This window comes from Homo sapiens, chromosome 13 (genome assembly GCF_000001405.40).
Source record: "Homo sapiens chromosome 13, GRCh38.p14 Primary Assembly".
Lineage (NCBI taxonomy): Eukaryota > Metazoa > Chordata > Mammalia > Primates > Hominidae > Homo > Homo sapiens.
Window position 1 is genome coordinate 86972088 of NC_000013.11, and position 20284 is coordinate 86992371.

Below are 20284 nucleotides of genomic sequence, written 5' to 3' on the forward strand. Positions count from 1 at the left end.
GGATTATGTATGTATAACAAAGCAGAAAAAATCTGAAATTGAAATTATTATATCATACATCACATGATATTGTGGAAAGACATTCTAGGTTTATATAATACAAATTTAGAGTCTCCATGAAGCATTCTTTAATTTACCTAAAATTATTACAGAAGTATTTCATCCAAAAAATGTTCTGGGGATAAAAATAAAAAGTCTGACATTGAGCTTATGCCTTAATATGTTATTCTTTTATTGAATTAGAAATCAAGAAGATAACATGTCATACTTCAATATAGTGGTAAAAATTAAACAATAGAATATTTAAAATACTCACTTTCCACTTTAATCCTTCTAAAACATTCTGTATGGTGGGTTTCTATTCAGTATACTTTGAGACATAACCCTACTTATCTTCACAAATTGTTTTACATGTATTGATTGTTGGAATGTTCATTCTTTAGAAGTTAGTTTTGTAATAACATGTTTCCAATATTAATTTATGTGGAAAGTGCAAATTACTAATTTGTTGGTGTTTATTACCAGGGGGAAGACAATTTTTCCATGGATGGAAGTGCGTGGGGGAAATGAATCTGTTCCACTTAAGATCATTGGGCATTAGATTCTTGTAAGGAGCATGCAACCTAGGTCCCTCACATGCACAGTTCACAATAGGTTTCACACTCCTATAGAATTTATTGCAGCTGCTGATCTGTCCGGCTCAGGTGGTAATATTCAATTGACAGTGGCTCGCCTCCTGCTGTGTGGCCCAGTTCTTAACAGGCCAGTGGCTTGGGGGTTGGGGACCCCTGATACAGGGTGCATTTGACTTCTGCTTAAGAGGGCAGAGAATAAGCAGAATAACTACTGATCAAGTTTACAGCTAGAATACTCATGCACATCATATGATTTTAATTAACCATATGCATAATTATCTGTTTTATCATATTTAACTTTTTCGTTTTCAGGTTTTACTTCCTCCTACTCTCTTGTTCTGTCTGAAACAGAGTAATTACATGATAAAAGATTCAAAATAATGAATGAATCATAGAAACTATAACAGGTAATGAATGTTGAGACAAGAAGTTACCAGGTTCGTCTTTGTTGTGGGGAAAGATGCAGTTCATTTATGCTGTAGTACATTTGTGTCTGAACTCAGAATCAGAGTTCCTAGAAGACTGTTCTACTTTACAACCTGCAAGAACTTTGTGTTTTCAGAATTTTAAGCCTTAGGGCAGACTTACTCTTTCTGGTAGTGGTTTGAGATCAATTGCCTGTTGCAATGTTCTTCATCTTAGGTTTGCCTTCCCTGAAGTTTTGTGGAAGGGTAGAAACCTGAGAGAGTGCTTGCTGGGATTTGAAGTGTTTACTTTTATACCTGGCATTTATTTTGAAGTTTGGGCATTCTCTGTCTTCAGTTTATGCCAAAGGCATGATTTCCATCCAGGTATTTTTTTTTTCTTACAGCTTTCATTGTTTTGTGAGATAAGATTGAAAAATTTGAACCTTGTAATCTGCCATTGTCTTTAGTTAACCAGTGTCCCCACATGTCACCCTGAAATGAAAACCTTGAAATTATAAGAAAAACAAGGATTTAACAAATGGAAATCCTGGATTTTCTTGAATATTACAACAAAACTAGATTTTAAAAAGTAGTCTGAGAAGCTGAGAATGTTCATGAGCTTACGTCTGCCTCATGTTATGCAGTGAATGAATATGAGAATGTTTATTATAGTCTTAGAAGAGTATTCTTAAAACTGCATAAATGTAAGATGTAGGACTTGAAATAATTTTGAAAGCCGCTCACAATTTTTTTTGTGTTAATGAAGTCAAACATGTTTTCTCATTCCCCAGAATTCCACCTGTCATAGCTAACATAAGTACAAGTTAATTAATAAAATCACGCTGTTTTTTTTTTTTGGAATAGAAGCACTATTCCTAATATTGACTTATGCATGATAATTTTATGATTTAAATTTCAAGTAAAATATTATAGTATATTTTTATGAAATAATCATTATGTTAACATAAAATATTTATACCTTTTGTATATACTTATTTTTTGACAAATAATAATTGTGTATATTTATGGAGTACAATGTAAAATTAGTTGGTGAGGTGAAGGATATTTTAATTAGCTTGATTGAATCTTTCTACAAATGTATACATAAAACAAAATGTCATACTGAAGCTCAATATAAAATATTTTTAATGTGCTTTGTGAATTAATACCTTCTTTTGGATGTTATCTCTCACTGATGGTGGTGGCAGCCTGTCTGGAGCAGCCACTACGGGGATGCCAGCAGCAGCAGGAGAGGCACAGCTGGGACTGCATGCTCTGCGGACCAAATGGGGGCCAGAAACAAGGTGGAGCCCCACCCCTAATGACCTGGTAGGGTGGGAGCCCCGCACTCCCAGTCACAGCTGCAGCCACCCAGCAGCAGCTCTGGACCAGGGCATCCTGGCACTCTTGGGGGCCCAGGAAGCTCCCTGCCCCCACAGGCTTAGAAGTGCCTGCTCCCTCTCCCTGGCCTCTCCCCACTCCTTGTGCCCACTCCAGTGTGGAGCAAAGTTGTGGCCAAGTCCCGGTGCTCTCGTGTGCTGGCCAGATGTGCACACACTCAGGGTGGTGCTGACATGCCAGTCTGCTGCCATCTCAGCCCCCTCCAGAATTTGAGCATCAACAAACACAGGAGGGAGGCCAGGGGGCTGAAGGCAGCTCAGCAAAGATGCCCCTTGGCATGAACAGCCTGGGTTCCATGGACGGCTTCTGGCTAGATGCAGACAGGTTCCTAGGCAGGAAGGGGGAGGTCCCCAGTGAAAGCCCACATTCAGGCCAGGGACAGCCTGAAGCCTGAGGGCCGGGCTGCCTGTTACAGGTGAAGTATGTGGCCTGCAGTGAGATCTTCATTGATAATCATTTGGCTGATCTGATGGTGCTTTCTCCAGGGCTGCCTGTGACCACCCAAGGACTAACAGCATGCACTTTCTCCATTCTGAGAATGTAAAAACCCCAGACTCAGCCAGACTCCCCAACACTCCTTGGGATGACCTGCCTGTGGAAAGGAGCTACCCACTAGGGGTCTCCTCTGCTCTAAGAGCTGAACACTCATTGATGTGACCTGCCTACAGGTTTAAAAATATTAAACTATGGTTTAAAAATATTAAGCTATAATTCCCTAACAGAGATTCACAGAGAAATCGATAATCTTCACTATTAAATTACACACTTCTATGTAATTCATGAATCAAAGAAAATGTTTTAATAAAAACTAAAAAAAATTTTAAACAAAATAGAAAGAAAATACAACGTATCAAAATACAATGGATTCAGCTAATACAGTGCATGCAGGAAAACTTATAGCATTAAATGCTTATATTAGAAAAACAGAGAGGTTTCAAATCAACAATGGAAACTTCCACTTTTGAAAATTAGAAAAAGCATGGAAAAATCAAGTTAAAGCAAGCAGAAAGCAGGAAACAATAAATATATAAATAAAAATCAAAAAAATAAAAATTAAGAACATATAGAAAAACACTGTCTATTTTCACAGACGATAGGATTCTCCATACAGAAATGCAAGGAATCTATAAAAACAAACAAATAAACAAAAAACACTTAAAAATAGAAAATGATTTTTGCAAGGTCCTAGGATACAAAGTCAATCACATTTTTATGTAGTGGAAAAGAGTAAGTGGAGAGTAAAAATAAAAGTTTATAATAACTCAGAAATTATTGGGTATAAGTCTGATAAAATATGTGCAGTTGTGTGTAAAACTACAAAACTCGAATGATAGAAAAAAATGTCTTACATAAATGGGGAGATATAAAATGACCAGAATTAGCAGACTGAACATAAAGATGCGAATTCTATCCAAATTGACCTATGAGTTTACTGATTTCAATAAAACTTTAACAAATTTGTAAAATTTATGTTAGACTGATTCTAAGTTTCTAACTTTTATATATGTGTAAAGCATATAAGGAGAGAAAAAAAAACTAGACTACATAAAGCAATTTTGATTAAAAAGGCTTAAAGTGGGAAGATTTACTTTAATGTTAAGACTTGACTTAAAGTTACAGAAATTGAAACAATGCAGTATTAGTGAATTGGGTAGAAACATAGATCAACAGAGTAGCATGTGAAACCCAAAGATAGATTAATGCAGTCATGGCCAAATGATGATCAAAACAGTTCTCAAACAATTTAATGAAGAAAGAATAGTCTTTTCAAGAGGTTTTCTGGAACAATTATACACCCATGTATCCAAAACTAACAAAACAAAAAAAATTAAATACCTCAAATTCAAACTTTATATAAAAGAAGCAAATCCTGATTACAACATATATAAATGCAAAGCCTAACATATGAAACGTGCAGGAGAAAATCTTAGCGACCTAGGTTTAGACAAAGAATTCTTAGAAGAAGTGTGATTTGTAAAATAAAAAAATCAAATTATTAAAATTTTTGTTTCCACAAAAGATGGTTAAGAGAATGTAAAAGATAACTAACAATTGAATATATTAATAACTACAACTTATAAAGAATGTAAATACACATTCATACATACACAGATATATGTAAAGAACCCTAAGCAGTAAGAAAAGAACTGATCTTATTAAAAATGGGAAAACTATTTGAACTAGCATTCCATTGAGGAGGCAACAAAGATGACAAATATGCATGTGGAAAGATGTTTGAACTGATTATCCTTTAGGGAAATGTAAATTAAAACCATAGTGAAGTATTATGATATATATTTTAGTGTTTAAAATAAAAATGCTGACAATATCAACTACAAACAAGTTTGTGGAGCTGCTGGAACCTGCGTGTATTCCTGGTAAAAATGCAATATAATATAACCACTCTGGAAAACAGTTTGGAATAAAACTGATGACACACTCACTCACCATATGACCAAGCGGTCTTACTCATATGTTTCTGGGAAAAAAATATTCTGTTCAGACAAAAACCTGTGAATGTTTGTGGCAGTTCTATTCAGACAATGTGCCATAATTCAGCAATCAAAACAAGCCAACTTTTGATACATCCAACCACTTGGATGTATTTTTAAAGCATTATATTGAGGGAAGCGCTGGGTTTCAGTTACATGAGGTATGATTCCATTTACAGTAAGATCTGTAACAGGTAAAATTACAGTGTCAGAGAACAGACCAGTGGTTGACATGAGTCATGAGTCAAGTGTGTGAGTGGGTTTGTATGTTGTGAGTGTGTGATTATAAAAAGATAAAACGAAGGAGTTTTGTTGTTGTTGTTGTTGTTGTTGTTGTTGTTGTTTTTGACGGACTCTCACTCTGTCGCCCAGGCTGGAGTGCAGTGGTGCCATCTCGGTTCAAGGCAAGCTCTGCCTCCCAGGTTCATGCCATTCCCCTGCCTTAGCCTCCGGAGTAGCTGGGACTACAGACGCCCGCCACCACAACCGGCTAATTTTTTGTATTTTTAGTAGAGACGGGGTTTCACCATGTTAGCCAGGATGGTCTCCAAAAGTGCTGGGATTACAGGCGTAAAACGAGGGAGATTTTTTAGATTTTTTATTCAATTGATGAATTGAATACTACTATTAATACTACTACTGTAAATGATTGGCATGACAAAAAGGAGCATGCACCCCAGGTGCAAAGAAGAAAACATGAAACCAAAAAAGTAATTTCTAATACATAAAAAAAAATCTATGTTTTCATTTGCCTCACTTCAGTCACCGTATTTATTTTGCTGTCATTTTTACTAGGAAAAAATCTTGTCTCAGTATTCTTTGACTTGACAGATGATTTTAACTAAGACTTAGTTGAGATTCATTAGTATTTCCAACATGTGTGTTCTACAAAGCAATGTGTTAATTCAATGTCAATAGACATATCTTTAGTACATCTTCAAATACATTTTTCAAAGAATTAGCTATCAATAAAACAAAGAAATGGTATGCAATATTACTTTAGTGATTTTCAAGTTTGCTTTTTTGGTTTATTTTATGTTCATGTAGTGATTATTAATCCACCTAATTTTATTGAGAAAATTTAAAATAATCGGTATTTTAAATTATTATTATTATTAATAGTAGTATTCAATTCATCATCATGGTATGTATTTTAACAAAGATAAAAGTGCATAGAGTGGAGAGTGTGTGTCCCTTTCCCACATGTCTTAAGTCTATCCAACCCACAAGTTTACCACTTCTGCAGTTTTAATTATTTATGAATCCTAGGTATTGGGTCATGTATATGTCATACATTACATAAATGTTTCCTCAGTCAAAATAAGATTATAATTTCTGCCTTTTGTTTTTAGTGATTTTATTATTTTACATATATTTTAATTCATCCCAAATTTAGTCTGGCATATAATTCAAATGGTAGTTCTAATTTTTAAAAAATCTCTATATTGAAATATATCATTAATGCAAAAATAAGACAAAATTTTTGAGTGCAGTTTTCTTAATTTTTTACATAGTTTTTTCACGCATGTCAAAATATGACATGTCAAGAAAGGGAATATCACTGATAGCCCTGAACCTCTCTTTGCAACTTACTCCTTGACCTTCCTCCTCCTCAAACATAACCATTGTCCTGACTTATATCATTGTAAACTAACTTTGGTTTATTTTGAACTTTATATAAATTAATATATGTCATATACATTAATTTATTTCTATTTCATTCAGAATTAGATTTGTAAAAAATCTTTAGTATATACTATTTCTTTACATTTCTACACTAAATTATATTTAGCCATTTTACTGCTGGTGGGCATTTGAGTTATTTTCAACTTGTTTATAACTATAAATAATGAATGAATTTTTTGTTTGACATTTTTATTTACTTTTGTATTTTTGGCCATTGTGATGTGTTTGCATTTCTCCTTGGTATATTCCTCAGAGTAGAACTGCTTTGGTGTAAGTTATGGTATATATTAATTTAACCTTTAGTACATGCTACGAAATACTCTCTCAAAGTGTTTATATCTCTACGTATATCACTTTATGTCCCTAAAGGCAGTATATAATAATTCATGTTGATCTATATTCTCAACACTTGATATTGTCAGTTTTTAAGTTTAGCTATTTGGATGTATGGATTGGGCAACATTTGACAAATACTTTAAGGACTGATTAGATTAATTAACTTTTATATGTTTGTTGGTCACTTGGCTATTCTCCATTAATGAAGACCTGTTCAAGTATTTGCCCTTTTTTTTTTAATAGATTTTTCTCCTTTTTTATCTTCTTGATTTGTGGGATGTTTTACATAGTTTAAATGTGAGTTTTTTGTTTTTTTTTTTTTTTTTTTTTTTTTGGTTAAAGGTATACAAATATCTCCCAGCCTGTGACATGCTTCATCATTTTTTAAAGAAATATTTGTGAGAATTTATGGTCACGAATTTAATATCAACACTGTCCTATAAGGTCAGTAGTAGTAGTTTCCAATTAAGAGAGAGTTGTTCTCATTAAATGTATATCATGGCATGTTTATATCTCCTGTCTCCTAGAAATGTATTGTTTTTCCTTTAACATTTAAAACTATATTCCACATGGAATATTTTTGTATGATTTAATGGGGTCCAATTTTTTGCTTTTCTTTTCTCACTTCTTTTTCCTCACATTCTATCATTTCTCACACTCTCTTCTTCTTCTTTATCTCTCACCCTAACCCTCTCTCTTACCTATGTGCATTTAATTGACTTGGCAGCATTTATTTTATTTTAATTTTTAATTTTTACAGGTACATAGTAGGTGTATATATTTATCGATTGCATGAGATATTTTGATACAGAAATATGTGAAATAATCACATTGGAGTAAATGGTATATCCATCACCTCAAGCATTCATAATTTCTTTGAGTTATAAACATTCTTTTAATTCCAAAGTTATTCCAAAATGTGCGACAAATTATTGATGATGATAGTCACCCTGTTGTGATATCAAATATTAGATCTTATTCTTTAATTTAAAATAGTTGTCTTTCCTTCACAGCCCTAGAGTATCAACTTTGATGTTCATTAAAAGTTTAATACAGTTAAATCTTTACCTGGACTCTTTATTCTCTAATTAATTTGCTACATTTATTGATTTGGTTATTTTTATGCCAATATGTGTTTTTAATTTCTGGTGCATTCTGATAAGTATTGATATTTGGTAATGTGATTTCTTAATTAAATTTGCATTCTACCAATGCAATCAATGTAGTCTTTTATTTTCATTTAATTTTTTTGAAATTTTTTTCAATAATATGATATTTAGCAGATTTGTACTTCTTTATTTAGCTTCATTCCCATGTATATAATATTTTTTGGAGCTAGTATGAATAACACCTGTTGAAAAATTTTGTTTTCTAAATATTTTTTGCTGATATAGAGAATTAAAATTAATTTATATATATTAAACTTATACAAGCAGAAGTTTTAATGGTAAATTTCACTCATTAATTGCTAACCTCACTTATTAAATGAATTTATTTTTGTATCTATTATTTTACATTTTCTAAGTGCATAATCTTATGAGCATAATGCTGTTTTATTTCTTTCTCTCTAATCTTAATACTTTAATTAGCTTTAAATGCCTTATTACATTGTTGAATAGAAATTCTTTGAAGGGGCATGATCACTTCAATTTCAGTTTCAGAGAAGTCAGTCAATATTTGAACATTAAGTAGGGTATTAGTCTTTTTAAAAAGCTATTATTTATTTCATTAAGACAATTTCTAGTTTACTAAGCGTTGATAGATCCAACTTTATCTTCCTTTTACTGATAAGAGCTGTTATTTTTATGACCTAATAAATCCTCTTTTATATTTGATCCTTGCCCATTTGGTTTTTAATTTCTTTACTTTAAAATTTTATAAATTTATAATAGTTTACATACTTATGAGATACGTATGATATTTTGATACAAGTATGCTTGCTTTTCCATTTTCTAGTCTTAATGTTTGTCTTTTCAAAATCATTATGTCACTGTGTTTGTTACTGTATCTCATAAATGCTAAAATAGGTAGCCACCCCTCTATGTTATTTTCAGAATGTTTCTGTGTTTTCCCATTTATTTAATTTTTTAAATAAATTTTAACTCTTGTTTGATTTCAAACAAATTATTGTTATTTGATATACTCATAAGTAATTTTTAAAGTATGATTAATATTTAATTTTTATTTCAGGGCTTTTTTTTCCAGTTTCATTATCAGTGTTGACTAATTTACAAAAATTATGGTAGATTTCTTTTTTTCATGCTCTCAAAATAATATTCTATACTTTAACTTTTTTCTCTAATTTTTAATTATAATTTATCTATTAAATGTTTTTTAAATAAGAGTTTTCTGTAGGTATATGAATTCTTTTAAAAACCAATTTATTATTAATAATAATTAGTTTTCTCATATTTTCTATGTTTTGTAAAAAAACTTTGGTAGTTTTTTTTTCATAGAATACTAACTTCATCCAATTCCACAGAATTAAAAAAAAAATTGTTACATTCTGCTTTGAACTTTATTTATAATTTCATCAGCTTATGTGTTGCCTTTGGTTATTACATTTTTCTATTTTATAAAATAACAGAAGTTTTTATATTTAAATTTTATATTTCATTTTTGACTATGTTAGCTAATGGTCTAATTGTGTAGTTTTAAAAATGTGTTTATTAAAGAACCAGCAAATACATGTATTTATAACGTATTTCTTAGTTCTATGGATTAACTTGCTTTCTATTTCATCAATTTTTAATTTAATATTTACTAACTTTTCATCTTTCTTTTTTTCAGGCTTCCTTTGATATATTTTATATATACTTTCTTTCTGAAACTCTTACAATGTATGCTTAATCATTTACTTAATTACCCCACATCTTAAAATACATCTTCAAGAGTACAAATTTTTTGCTGATTAATGTTTCCTAGTTATCTCATTAGTTTTGATGATGTTTTTCAATTCACTCTGTTCTTTTTCAAAACTAATAATTTAATATCAGTTGGTACTTTTCTCTTTGACCCAAGAGTTAAGGTTTTGCTTTTCTCTTTTCCTAATTGATAGAGTATATTTGTTTATTGATTTTGTTTTCTTGTTTTTTGCATTTATTTTAAATGGTTAGTACTCTTTCTATAATTCAGAAATTTTTAATTAGTTTCTTAGGGCCTTTCATAACTCTGCTATCAGATTATCTTTATATGCCACTTGGTTGAATGGACAATGATAATTTCACCTTGTATGGAAGTCAAGCACGCTCAAGACTGTGAATAATGCACTTTCAGCAATCCTGCACTTGGGTAGACTGTTATGTGATGATTTTCACCATGGTCATACTAGTGAATATAAATCAAACTGAATTTACTGAATGTTGAGATACTTAGGAGATTCAGCTTTAGACTTGGATATTAAGCATAAGGGAAATAAAAGCATCTCAATTTTGGGATTTGGAATTATATAATAGATGATGATGCCTTCTATTGCTATGAGGCTGGATATGACCCCCGTTCTTATAATAGGGGAAGCTTTGAGAAAATTAAACAAGAATTTTAGTTTTTAACATGCTAACTTGAAAAAGCTTTTCAAAATATAGGAAAGAAACTTGATTTGGAGGTGTAACTTAGAAGAGTTCAATGTCTGAATGGCATTTAAAGGCGTGGACTAGAATAGATTACCAGATTATCATTATAGGTAGATGAGAGAAGTTAGCCTTGTACACAACCCTATTCTCTCAAAATAAAGTCTCCAGTTGGAGCAATGGCTTTCAAAGAACATGTGTATGAATGGCTGGTGGGCTGAATGAGAAATGATTAGAATATAATGTAAAGAAAGTCAATAAAATGAAATATCTAGAGAAGGCAAGCCTTTACATGTTTGTTCAGAGGGTGAATAAGATGAAACTAGGTAAATGGTTTCTCAACACAGCAATTAGTGGCTTTAGTAAGTCATTTTTGAGACACTTCACCTGATTTAAGTGGGATGAAAAAGATATGATGTACACAAGTATAAACAGAAAACAATTGTAAGAAACTCAGGAGAAAATATACTAATCAGCTGCTACAGTGAAGTATATGCCAAAGGAGGATATTTAATAGGTAGATGAGTTAATATATTATCAGAGAAATTGAGTATGTTTGTATGCTGATGTGAATTACCTATATATACACTAAAATACAATTCATCTTGTAAAAGACAAAGGAGATGGCTATTAGAAAAAGCTTCTTTGAAGAGACAGGATATGAAATTTACAGTAGGGCAGGGGTTGACTTTGAGAGGAGCCAATTCAGCTCATGTAGTACAATCAGAAGAAGAAAAGAGTAGCAGCATGTCCCTGCAAATGTTTGTTCAATTGGAGGCATAAATATGTTGTTCTGCTTCTCTTTTCTCGATGAAGAATAAGCCAAAATAGTATGTTGAAAGGAAGGGAGAGGAATAGCACATGGACAGTTTCACTAACGAAGTGATAGTTGTGAAATTGACATTTCATGAAATGGCAAAGCAGAAATATAACTAAATGCGGTAATATAGGTGGCAATATTGGGTGTTCATTGAGATTTGTGGTAACAAATTTAAAGTAATACAAGTCAGCAGATTTGTGTTACTTTTTTTTCAACAATATTTTGTTGCTCAATTATCCCAGGGAACAATTGTTTTCAAGTAGGGCTGAATTTGTCCCAAGGAAGATAATCAAATGAGAGAGAGGCTAAACCATTAAGAGTGTTCCGAGGAGTGACTTTAATAGTTAGGATAACTAAACTTTTCTTCTTTCTTGAGTTCTGAGCAAGTGAATAGAACAACAGAATTAATAAACTGAAGATAAAACTGTTAGCTTTATTTCTGGGGAAAGTGGCATGGAGGATATGGTTTCCATAGGTGAGGCACAGCATGCTTTCTAATAATTCCTGCCTTACTGCTCAGTTTAGATTATAAAACAGTGCAACAGGATGAAACCTTAAGTATGCACAGTACACTCGCTTACTGAGATTATTACTTTGCACAAACCTAAAGTTTATGGCAAGTGTGTCAAGAAAGTAGGGAAGCATTAGAAAGAAATCTACCCTTCCATGCTCAGGAATTTTGATAGAAAATATAAAAACCCATCCAGAAATCAGTAAGTGGCTGCCACCTACTTCTCACGTAAAACACTCTATCTCTGTGGAGTGATAAATGGGATGATTCAAAAGACCAGGACTATTTAAGGGGAGGAAAATCATCTACATTAAAATAAGAAAAATAGAAAAAAAATGTTCCCCACGTTCCCAAATAATTATATAACGGAATTTAATCAAGTTGTGTTACAAGTCAGATTTAGTATCCAGAAATATTTTTTTTTTCTTTTGCAAGGTGCTGCAATCAAGAGAAAGAGACAGAGCCACACTGACAAGACCACGTTCTAGAGAGAAGGAAATATGAGAGGCTCAAGGGCAGGGCTGTGAGGACAAGCAGGGGAGATGAGATGAGGTAGCATGAATCTCTTCTTTTTTGTACTTTATGTAAAAATTTATTTGACCAAAATGTTTAAAAAGTGATACTATTACATATGATACTACCCAGGAGGTAGCATGAATCTTAACAGCAACAGGAGGTCACCTCTGCTCACAGGTAGCAATGTGACTCGAACCACAGACATGGAGAGAGCTGCCTCCATCCTCTAATGAAATGAAGAGAAAAATTCAGTCTGTTATTGTACTTCAAATTAGACAGGAATGGGAATTTTAGATGAATGCCATTCATTTTCAAGTGTTAGAAATCATATTATCATAAGGAGGAATCAGGATAAATCAAGTATATTTATCTTCACATAATTTCCTGATTGCTCCTCATTACATGGAGAAGATCTGGACTTCGTTAAATTCATTATTTCAAATTTCCTGGGAAATCAAGAGTTGTTGAGGTGAAAAAAGAATTGTATGCTAAATTTTAAAATTCATATTGAAATGATATAAATATTAATAAATAATTAGAATATCTAGAATGCTACTTTATTTTTAACTTTTATATTTTATTAACTAACATTGTTTTACATTATAAATTCTTTTCTATGTTAATGATTTAAGAATTAATAAATAATTTGTATTTGACATTTAATTAAATTTGATATCAAAAATCAATTTACCATACCTTGGAAGAGCCAAGAGTTACTGACAGAAACACATTCTCTGTCAGACTTTTCTCCATTAAAAATAATGAGGTATAATCAATATTTTTTACATCTGTGATTTGAAGTTGAAACTCGGAAAGAACATTTGGACATATATCCTGATTATACAAGGTTATAGATAAAGTCTCACAGAGAGAGTTTTCATTTCCTTTTATCCATGCCCTTGAGTTCAGTAAATTAAATAGACAAATATAGGAAACATTTTTCAACAAATGAGAATCTATTTAATATGACTGAGAAACAATGCAACTTAAAGAAATTTTTAAAACAAATGCTTAGACAATGTAATGTTCTTCTACAGATTTCATTCTGACAGAGTTGTGTTTCTATATTTTAAAAAATATGCAATGATATTAGCTATTGATATTTCAAAGCATTGTATCCTATACTATTGACTTGTAAATAATATGCCTAGTTGCAATGTATGGTGAATGAGTATTCATTGGAATTATTAATTCACAAAAAAGCTGTAACATTTTCATGTAGTTGAGGAAAACATACAGTTGGTCAAAGGATAAAAGCCAGGCATAGACAATAATTTAATACTCACATTATAAATTTACTTTTCAAATGGTAATAATAAATTTTAAAAATTGGAATGTAAAAGGTTTCTCTACACAATATAGTAGCTATAGAATTCTGAGATTACTTATATATATGAACAAGAAGGGATAAAAACTTTGTACTAGCTCTAATAATGGATAAATTATTGATTTGCAGGTTAAAAACAGCAAATATTTGAAATAAAATAATGCATTCAATTTTCAGAAACTTAATGCTAAAAAGAAATTGTTTTTATGATTCTTATATTTATTTAATTTTAACATTGTTTTAAAAAATCTTTCAATATCCCTAATAACAGATGCTTACAGTGAATGTGATAAGAAACTTTTTATAACAGATTAATTGGCTGATTTTACTTCTTCAAGTCTGTAAGATGATGGTAACTTTAAAAATCAATGGCATCTTAAGTTTATGAGGGAAACATATTTTACAATAAAATTAGAATAAAAAGTAAAATTTACCCCCATCGCCTAAGCCAACACTGAATCTTCCTAAAATATTGTTTTGAATATTTTTGAAAAGTCTTTTATATGCTTAATTTTCTAGTCTTTTTGTTCAATTTGTTGCTCCAAATAATTGATTTAGAATCAACTGAGAGTCATTTTGTTAATTTGACTCCTATTTAGGCATCTTACCAACACATACAAATTTAGTTAACTTCATTCTTCAAAACACAAATTGATAGACATGAGATTATCCTTTCCCCTTCCTCCCTTTCTCCTTTCTTTTCTGTCAGATGGCCTTTGTTGCCCTAACCGAAGGCTGCTGTGTGGGAAGCTTCCAAAGCACTCTGTGTGGAATCCATCTGTCTTTTTGTACTTGGAGGCTTTGTTTACATTTATACCTTGTTTGTACACCACTTTAATAACGTGGCTAATCATTTACACAAGTGCTCTGAGACTTTATTCTTTGATCTGGATAGGATTTCCCTTCAGCGTGGGATAAGTACGTACCCATAATGTCATTACAGATAGCAGTGGGCTGTCTGTGGCTTTGTGTTGAATATCTGGGATGTTTTAAAGAATGCCTCTTCCAAGCTTATTCCTTCAAATTGCCCTAAGCTCAGAGTGCTTCTTGGATAAATTCTATTATAATTTGAATAAATATATAACTTAGTGGCTATTTAAATGCTCCCCAGCATAGACAGTGAAGAAATCTACAGTAGTATGAATCCAAAACAAGACTAAATTCAACATGTTAAGAAAAACATTTACCATAAATAAATCTACTTTAACCTAAACAATACAACTAACAAAATATATCTTAAGTTTCTGAAATAAGCATTATGCTTCTGAAGTTTTTGTGAAAAAATAAACATAAGAGAATAGCTGGAAAATAATAGTTTTGAAAATAAATGGTAATACGAAGACCTAACTTTACTGGAAATTGAAATACCTTCTACTGACAGGATGCTTAAGCTAATGCTTCTAAAGCCATAAATACTTATAACAATAAGGCAGAGCTTAAAATACAGAATACCCATGGGAACCTAAACTACACTAAATGTTTCATTTCAAAATAACATGGGAGAATTGATGATTCAGAAAAGTGTTTTACAAGTCATCCTTTAGAAAAATAAATAAGACTAGATATCTATTCATTATTTCAATAACTTCTTCATGAATCAATGACATAAAATTAATGATACATTTAAAATATAAAAATATACAGGAACTCATATTAATAATATTGTAATGGAAGAAGATATTTTAATAATAATGAAATCCGAGGAGCTGCAATGGAAGGACTATGATATTGGACAGATAAAATTTATTAACATATCTGTAGGGCAAAAAAAAAGAAGAAAACCCCTAAACAAAGTAAATTAACCATATAAATATAAAACAATAAGTATGTTTTAAAAACACACTATAAAACAATAAATATATAGTGTATATATAATATACACTACCATGTATATGTATATATATGTATATATAATTTAGGTAAAAACTTGCTAATAGCACACATGGCTATTACAGTTACAAATTTCAGAATACTTAACAGTAAATTTACTTTAATATAATTTTTTATTTTGAATACACAGAGTAATATTTATAGAAATGTATACAAGTATTGTGTATCCACATATTCACATATAAATATGCATATATGCTCAAACACGGTGAGTGAGTTGGAAATACACCTCACTCCTTTTCTGAGGCAAGTGCAATTTGCATTGCATTCTCTGCCACTGTGGAGGTGGGATGGCTATGTGATTTGCTTTGGCCAATGAAGTTTGAGTAGTTGTGGGGATATCTTTGGAACAGATTTCTAGAAGAGCAGTTTTGGCATCAAAAATAATATGTGCTTTAAATTTCCAGGTATAGTTTCAAATTGTACTATAAAAAGGTTGTGTAGACTTACGCTCTGATCATCCTTGCTTCTTAGGAGTTCTTTAAAGCAGAAACATTTAAGATTTATTATTTAACTCGAGAAATTTTCTTTCTTTTGTAAAAGTGGTTGACCTTATTCCAGATAATAAATGTTTCGTCTTGGGTTCCAAGGAGCTGGCTGCATCCAAACTGCAATGAACCTATACCATAGGTAAGAAATAACTTTATATATATATATATACATTATATATATACATATATATACACATTATATACATATATATAATGTGTGTGTGTATATATATATATATATATATATAAACATATAGCAATGAGATACTGAGCATGTTTGCACTGCAGCATAACCTGATATGGTTTGACTGATACTCTGGCTAAATGATAAGTCCTATGTTAAACCATGCTTTCCTTTTTTTATTTATGAAGTTTTGGGAAAGTACCTAAATCTCCCTAACCCTCAGCTTTCTTATATTGAAAGTGTTAAATCCAAGTACTTATATCACACAGTTAATAAATCATAAAGAAAAGTTATGTTTTCCTATTAACTTTTAATAAGAGAAAATTAAAAGTTGAATGTATTTCTGATTCATCACAAAATTAAAAATACTTCCTCCATGTTTTCTCAACATTTTGGAAAACTTTCTTTTTTTTTTTTTTTTTTCTTTTCAGTAATGATTCACAGTTCCCATAGATGTGAATAGGAAATCTAACTAAGATTATCTATTATGTCTTGGGATTCTTGAATAATTTATTTTAACCTTTGTAGTAGAGGGTAATAATATTGCTTAATACTTTATTTGTGAATCTAAATATTAATAATATGAAGACAGTGCAAAAAGATTGTCATTCATATTGAGAAATATTTTCACAGGTATTTCTTAAGGTTTATCAATGGAACTGAAGAAACATCTAACTCCTACATAGGTTTAGACTACAAAACTGATGTTTTGGTTTAAAATGTAGAAACAACTAGAGGTGATTTAGAATTAGTCAATTGAAACTAGCCAAAATATTTTTATTTTTGTTATTGAAAAATTGTGTTTGCTTAAGTTAGATACATTCAAATCAAAGGCTGCTCCTCTGCTTCATTTTAATGTGGTACCCTTAACTGCATGTATTCAGTAGAGACTTGGCTCTGATGCAATCCAAGGTCTATGAAGGGATGTAGTGGATGGGACTAGGTGAAACAAAATCACTTCAAATTTTGAGCATTATCTAGTTGTGACAAATCTATGTAGCTTGCTTCATGAGATGATGCAGCAGGAATTATTTGGTCAAAGAAAGTATATTAATATCATATCTACATTTAACATCAGTCTACTGAAGAAGGACTGATGTGTTGCCTTAGAATAACAATCACTGTCTTGCTAGTAGAAGTCAATACAGCTCAGGCATTAAAACTATTCAAAATAGAGCATGGAATAGTGTGAAAAGTACTACATAATTCAATTATAAAATTTTTTAAAAATGAAACAGAATGTTGGGTCTGTAGATATTTAACCTGATATACATTTTGAGTTAGTAATATTATTATTCGTATCATTAGTAATATAGAGTAAATATATACTTAAAAATTTACTGCTTTCTAAGATATAGGCCTTCCTACACACATTTTGAAATTATTTCCCAATACAGTTACTTAAAGAATGCTGTTCATATACACTAAAGTTGAAATCTATGCTAATATATATTTTAGGACATAGAGGTTCATACAAAAATTTTTGGTTTTCTGGTCCATATTTTCCCAAAGCTTAACTTTAGGTTATATGCTCTTTAATGGTAAAATGATTTATAAGTATATACCTTAAAAATAGATGTCAAAGATGCTAACTGAATAAGTGTGTTTAAAAGTCCTAAAAACATATTTAATCCAGGTTAATCTTTACCAAAGCTAGATTAACTGTCTTATATATAAATTCATTCATGAATTTGACTTCATGTTTAATGAAAAATATTGCTTGAAACATTTGACAGACTTCCTGTAGAATGACTAAAAGAATAGACAATATGCGATATATCATATAGTTTATTCGTCAAGGAGCATTTTATTGCATTTCTTGACTAATAACAACATTCACGAGAAAGACTAGCCCCCAGCATCATACTACATCATTGGTGACAACTAAAGAATAAAACAAACTCATGAATATTTAATGTTTAATAACAACATACAAAATTAGAAACCATAATAACAAGAGAAGATTAGGTATTTGAATTATCTTGTTACTAATCATGTAGCATACATAATAATACTAAAAATGTATTAAAGCAAGATTTTGTAGGTGACAATAATTTAATAAAAAATTTAAAAATAAGACAATTCAATAAACAATGTATAGCAGCAGTATTATCTTCAAATGACAGAAAGTAATTATTATATTATTTACTTCTTGGAGCAGGATTAGTGCTATAAATGAATGCAAACATTAAAATTGGTCTCAGATGACCTAACTACTAATACAAAATACAAAGGCTAATTAAGTCCATTTCATTAAGCGTGAAATGAAGGTTAAACTCCTCTCTCAAAATGAAAAGTGTCACTATTTTAAAATCAAAATCCTACATTGTAGAGCCAACCTTTGACTAAAAAGTAATTACACTATATGTGAGCACTTGTAGGCACAGACTTTTTTATTTTTTAATTACAAAATTTTACTGAGCTTTATTGATAAACTTTTTTATTTGTATTTTTATTTTTTTTGAGACAGACTCTTGCTCAGTCACCTAGGCTAGAGTGCAGTGGCACAATCTTGGCTCACTGCAACCTCCACCTCCCAGGTTCAAGGGATTCTCTTGCCTCAGACTCCCAAGTAGCTGAGATTACAAGCGTGCACCACCACACCTGGCTATTTTTTTGTATTTTTAGTAGAGACAGTGTTTTCCCATGTTGGTCAAGTTGGTCTTGAACTCCTGACCTCAAATTATCCACCCGCCTCGGCCTCTCAAATTGCTGGGATAATAGGCATAAGCCACTGCACCTTGCTTATTGATAAATTTTTAACTAAAAGTTATATGTACTTGATAGAATAAAATCACTTTCACCAACAGTATAAGGAATTGAGCTTTTGCAAATGGCATAATTTTTTATGCAATTGAAATCTTGTTTATTAAGTGTAAATGCTTGCTAGATTAATCACGATATCAGGTTTTTAATAAAATGTCCTGAATATTTTCCTGTCTCTTAAAACACATCTTTTTTAAGTAACCTAATAACGAATCATAAACATCCTTTATTGTATTAGACAGTGATGTATGCAAATAATTATTATTAAAATTAGAAAAAATAGATCTTCCACTTTTGATTAGGATGTAGAAGTATAAAAAGCAAGCTTGTTCTCATGTATATATTTTTAACAGATAGAATAACACCATATATTTCTCACTATGTCATAAAAAAAGGGCCAACATCACAAATTCTTATAGAGCTGATTTACACGAAGAATAAGCCCCTCACAGGGAAGTAGAAAGCTGTTTATTCAATAACAAAGACAAGTGGATAATGTATCTGTTACACAGTATTTCATGTATTTACAATTTTCAACTAGGCGAATATTTCCTAGATAGGGCAAAACTATTAATTATAAAGGAAATTGAATGACAAATTTAATCAAAATAAAAGCAAACATTTATCTAAGACACTATTAAAAATGAAATGTCAAGATACAGACCAAAATAATATTTAGAATGTTTCAGACATATTTATCCAATAAAAGACTTGTGTCAGAATGCATAATTACTCCTAAAAATGAAACAAACAATTAAAAATGAGTAAGCATTTACGAAGACACTTTTCTCTCTCTTTCTCTCTCACACACACACACAATATACAATTTACTGATAAATACAAAAAAATTAATAACTTTATTTTTATTCAAGAAACTTTACATTAAATTATCACAAAATATCACTTGCCTGTAAATATGAAAAGATAAAAGTGTGCTAATCCAAAATGTTGATAAAAATTCGAACAATTGGAATGGTAACACATTTCTGGTCTTATTGTAAAATAGTAAAGCCACTGTTAAAAAATGCCTTTGATCATTTCAATAGCTGCAGAAAAAACAATCATTAAAATTCAGCATTTCTTCTTTACAAAAATTCTCAACAAACTGGAGCACAGAAGGAAGGTATTTCAAAATATATAAAGCCATATACTACAAACCCATAGTTAACATAACACTAAATGGGAAAAAGTTAAAATCATTTTCCCTAAGAACTGGACCAAGACAAGAATGCCCACTTTCACCATTCCTATTT

The 20284-nt window shown here is 30.9% G+C and overlaps 1 long non-coding RNA gene across 2 annotated transcripts in view; it reads left to right on the plus strand.

Moving 5' to 3' along the window:
• Nucleotides 1-12298: 12298 nt before the first annotated feature.
• LOC105370301 (uncharacterized) overlaps nucleotides 12299-20284 on the plus strand; it is a 66794-nt gene continuing 58808 nt past the window's right edge. Inside the window, exon 1 of one of the 2 annotated variants that reach the window (XR_931624.1) lies at nucleotides 12299-12409. This is a non-coding gene — a long non-coding RNA (uncharacterized LOC105370301). Of the gene's footprint in view, nucleotides 12410-16149; nucleotides 16221-20284 lie in introns of those variants that run through there. The other variant, XR_931623.2, reaches the window with a different exon arrangement.